The following is a 4,081-nucleotide window of genomic DNA, read 5'->3' as shown; positions in this document are numbered from 1 at the left end:
TTGTTGCCTCACTGCAGAAATAAAGTTGAAAAATAGTTGATTAAAATTTATTGCCTTTGGAAGTTCAAAGCAGGTGGATCACCTGAGGTCAGGAGTTCGAGACCAGCCTGACCAACATGGTGAAACCCCTTCTGTACTAAAAATACAAAAATTAGCCAGGTGTGGTGGCACGTGCCTGTAATCCCAGCTACTTGGGAGGCTGAGGCAGGAGAATTGCTTGAACCCTGGAGGCAGAGGTTGCAGTGAGCCGAGATCATGCCATTGCACTCCAGCCTGGGTGACAGAGTGAGACTCCAAAAAAAAAAAAAAAAAAATTACTGCCAACAACAAGCATTTAAAAGGCATTTTAAAAACATATTTTTACATTTTCTACCAATTACATAAATTTAAAATGACAACTAAGATGGCATGAATTATTTAAACAATTTTATATTCCTAAATCATTAAAAAGTCCAATTAAAAGGATTACCAAACCAATCATTATGTTAAGTTGGTGAAGCATTATTTAATGAAAATTAGACATTTTTAAGTTAAATTAAATAGGTTATTCAGTTGTTCAGTTGGAATGTCACACTCTATGTGACCTGTCCTTTATACTGTGTATTTTTTATTGCTCAAATACCACTTATGCTCAAAAATTGATATTACTAAAGGAATTGTTGAACATGTTAGAAAGACATTTTACCTCATATAATTTAGAATTATATTTCACCACTCATCAACCTTAAAATTCTTTCATTAATGACTGAATGCTATTTTTAAAGAATGCAACAATTTGGGTTTTTATCTACTTCATTCTAAAGATGAAGCCATCAGGCCAATAGTTCCCAGGTATTGAATTTGGAACTGAAACCATTAGACTCTTCCCTTTTTCCATTTATGCCCAGTTTACACTCACATGTCCATTTCAACTCATTTTTTTACCCACTTGTGTCCATTTCACAGTTCATTAACATCTATTTCTAAAGGCAAAGTCACGAAGAAGAGAAAATACTTCAAATTTGTTCCTCTGTTTTTATAAAAAATTCTTGGTAAAAAGTAGAGAAAGATGAGTAAATGAGCCCTTAATACTTGGACACATTTTTAAATTATTCATTTTTACCAAACCAAACTGTATTATTAAAAAAATCAGTGTTCACTGTATTTTAAAAATATTCTCTTCAAAAGTATATTATAAATATATATGCACATATGTATTTATTTGTTCAATTATATTAACTATCCAAATGCTTATCATTTCTGTTTTTTAGAAGGACACAGTTTATTCAACAGAAGGCATAAAAATTAGAATTATCTTTCCCAAAATACGACTTAATTTCTCTGTTTTTCAGCTGTTCACCAATAAAACAATACTGGGGCTATTCTTTTTGTTCGTTTGTTTGAGATGGAGTCTCTCTCTGTCACCGGGCTGGAGTGCAGTGGCACGATCTCGGCTCACTGCAACATCCACCTCCCGGGTTCAAGCAATTCTCCTGCCTCAGCCTCCCGAGTAGCTGGGACTACAGGCTCGTGCCACCACGCCCGGCTAATTTTTGTATTTTTAGTAGAGATGGGGTTTCACCACGTTGGCCAGGATAATCTCGATCTATTGACCTCGTGATTCGCCCGACTCGGCCTCCCAAACGCTGGGATTACAGGCGTGAGTCACCGCGCCCGGCCAGGACTATTCTTAACATAGAAAAACTTCAGCACATTAGCCACCTCTGCAGGGCATTGAAGGATAACTGAAGTCCAGGGCCAAGAACACTCAGGGACGTCAGGTGCCTAAAAGTACTTAGGGGCCTTTAAAAATTTAAAACCAAGTATACTTCAGTATCTTAATGTTTGCAAATAACTATAAAATAGCCTTGGAAAAAATGAGCTCACACACACACACACACACACACACACACACACACACACATATATGACCCATCATAATAAATAAATATGGAAATCTATTATTTACACTCAAATAATTTTACATTTTCTTCTGTTCAACTACTTCAAGACTGGAATGTTTTTAGTCAAATATTCATGAGTGTGAAATCCCTCATTTCTCCCTAGTCTGAAAGGAGAGCTTTCAGAGATGTAATTCTTCTCAGATGTCTCCTGAAGTTTTGATTTGCGGTAAAAGCAAATAGGAATCATCCACCAAGTTAGGAAACAGCTATGCCCTTATGGGTTTATCTGTGGCCCTGGTATTAGCAGTCATCTTCCAAATCTGAGACATTAAATTGGCTGTCTTGATTGTTCTTTTGCCACTTGTCAATAAGTCCTTCTCAAATTCTTCAGTAATTTTGCCTTTAAAAATTTTTTTCAAGAGCTCTGAATCATTGAGAAGTTCTTCCATGTCCTCATCTTTGTATCAGAACATGCTTCCCTTTTCCTTATCTCATTCATGTTTTTCTTCTTCTCTTTTTTGGCCTTCTGCTTCGACCAATCTTTATTTTTTATGAATTTTCTTCTCCCTTCATTTTCTGTTTTTCTCTTTCCTTTGTTGCTCCAGTAATTTCTGCCTCTGCTTTTCTCTAATTTTATCTTTAAATGAAATAGTGTCTGTATTAATGTCCACAGGCACAAAATCTGGAAACTGCTTTCCTCTCAATTCTGGCATCTTGGGCATTCTCAGCAGGGAAAAACCTCGAGCAAGACTTGCAAAATCAAGATTATTTAATCTGAAAATCAGGTTGCATTCTTACTTTGCATAAGCCTGGACATAGGACACAAAAGCTTTCATGCCCTTTTCAAACACAGATTTTTCTGCCAGGGTCATGGACTTGAGTTTTGGCAGAAGGTCAGCTGTGTTTTTCTAGAGTTTCATCTCCGCCAGGGGGCATTTTTGGTTAATTGCAAGGAAATTGATGTATGACTCTTCCACGGGCAGGAGGAACACCAGAGCTCTGCCTCTGTGGCCAATGAGGGCTGTGCGGCTACAGTGCTGCACAAAGGCACTTGCATTGTAGGGGCGATTGTACTGCAAAACCCAGTTTACTTCAGGAACATTGATTCCTGGGCCACCACATCAGTGCACACTAAAATTCCACTTTGCAATTTGCAGAACAATTGCAATTTTCAATTTGCATGAAGATCGTATTTCATCTTTCCATGGATGCACACAATCTTCACACTCTTCATCAGCACCTCCAGAGCCTTCCTGTAGTATTCCACACAGGTGCAAGTGCTAAAGAAGACCAGGTGTTGCTCTTGCTTATGACTGCGAAGAAAATGTAGCAGCTGATTAAATTTCTCATCTGCCTTGCATACCATGTAGTAGTTTTCCAGGGGAGAGTGGTGTTCTGGGCACTGCTGGCTGCCACACCCTTCTTCACTGAGACTGGACAGGGTTCCGGCATCCCACTCTCCCCAAGTTCTCCACTTCCTGCTTCTGAGTGGCAGAGAAAAGGCCTGTTCTCCTCTGCTTTGGCAAAAACTCCAGGATGGTATTTATGCTTGCCTCAAATCCCATGTCCAGAAGTCTGTCTGCCTCATCCAACACCAGGATATGCAGGGATCACACACAGCTGGCCAGATACAAGCCTTCTGCCTTCCTTCAGAACCTGTCTTCAAGTGGCCTGGAATGGCCACAGTGATGTTCCCACCTTGTTGCTTAAACTCTTAAACTTGGAACAGAGGAGATCCTGAGAGCAGAGGAGAATCGTTTATTATTATTTTTTTTTTGAGATGGAGTTTCAGTCTTGTTACTCAGGCTGGGAGCAATGGCATGATCTCAGCTCACTGCAACCTCCACCTCCCAGGTTCAAGCGATTCTCCTGTTTCAGCCTCCTGAGCAGCTGGGATTACGGGCGCCCACCATCACGCCCAGCTAATTTTTGTATTTTCAGTAGAGACAGGGTTTCACCATGTTGGCCAGGCTGGTCTTGAACTCCTGACCTCAGGTGATCTGCCCGCCTTGGCCTCCCAAAGTGCTGGGATTACAGGCATGAGCCACTGCATCTGGCCTAGAATCATTTATTCTTTCTGACCTTCATAGATGATAAACCAAAGTTTTAAATAGATGTTTCCACTTATCCTGCCCTCTTTTCCATGTTCAATTGCTCATTTCCTGGTAAGCATGTCTGCCCTGGCTGCCTGCAGTCCA

At 40.0% G+C, this 4,081-nt stretch overlaps 1 pseudogene; it reads right to left on the bottom strand.

The window, feature by feature from the left end:
- Positions 1-1,986: 1,986 nt before the first annotated feature.
- On the bottom strand, positions 1,987-3,601 carry DDX55P1 (DEAD-box helicase 55 pseudogene 1; annotated as a pseudogene).

Source organism: Homo sapiens, chromosome 12 (genome assembly GCF_000001405.40).
Source record: "Homo sapiens chromosome 12, GRCh38.p14 Primary Assembly".
Classification (NCBI taxonomy): Eukaryota; Metazoa; Chordata; class Mammalia; order Primates; family Hominidae; genus Homo; species Homo sapiens.
The sequence above is the reverse complement of the archived record's forward strand: the minus strand, read 5'-3'. Positions and strand labels throughout refer to the sequence as shown.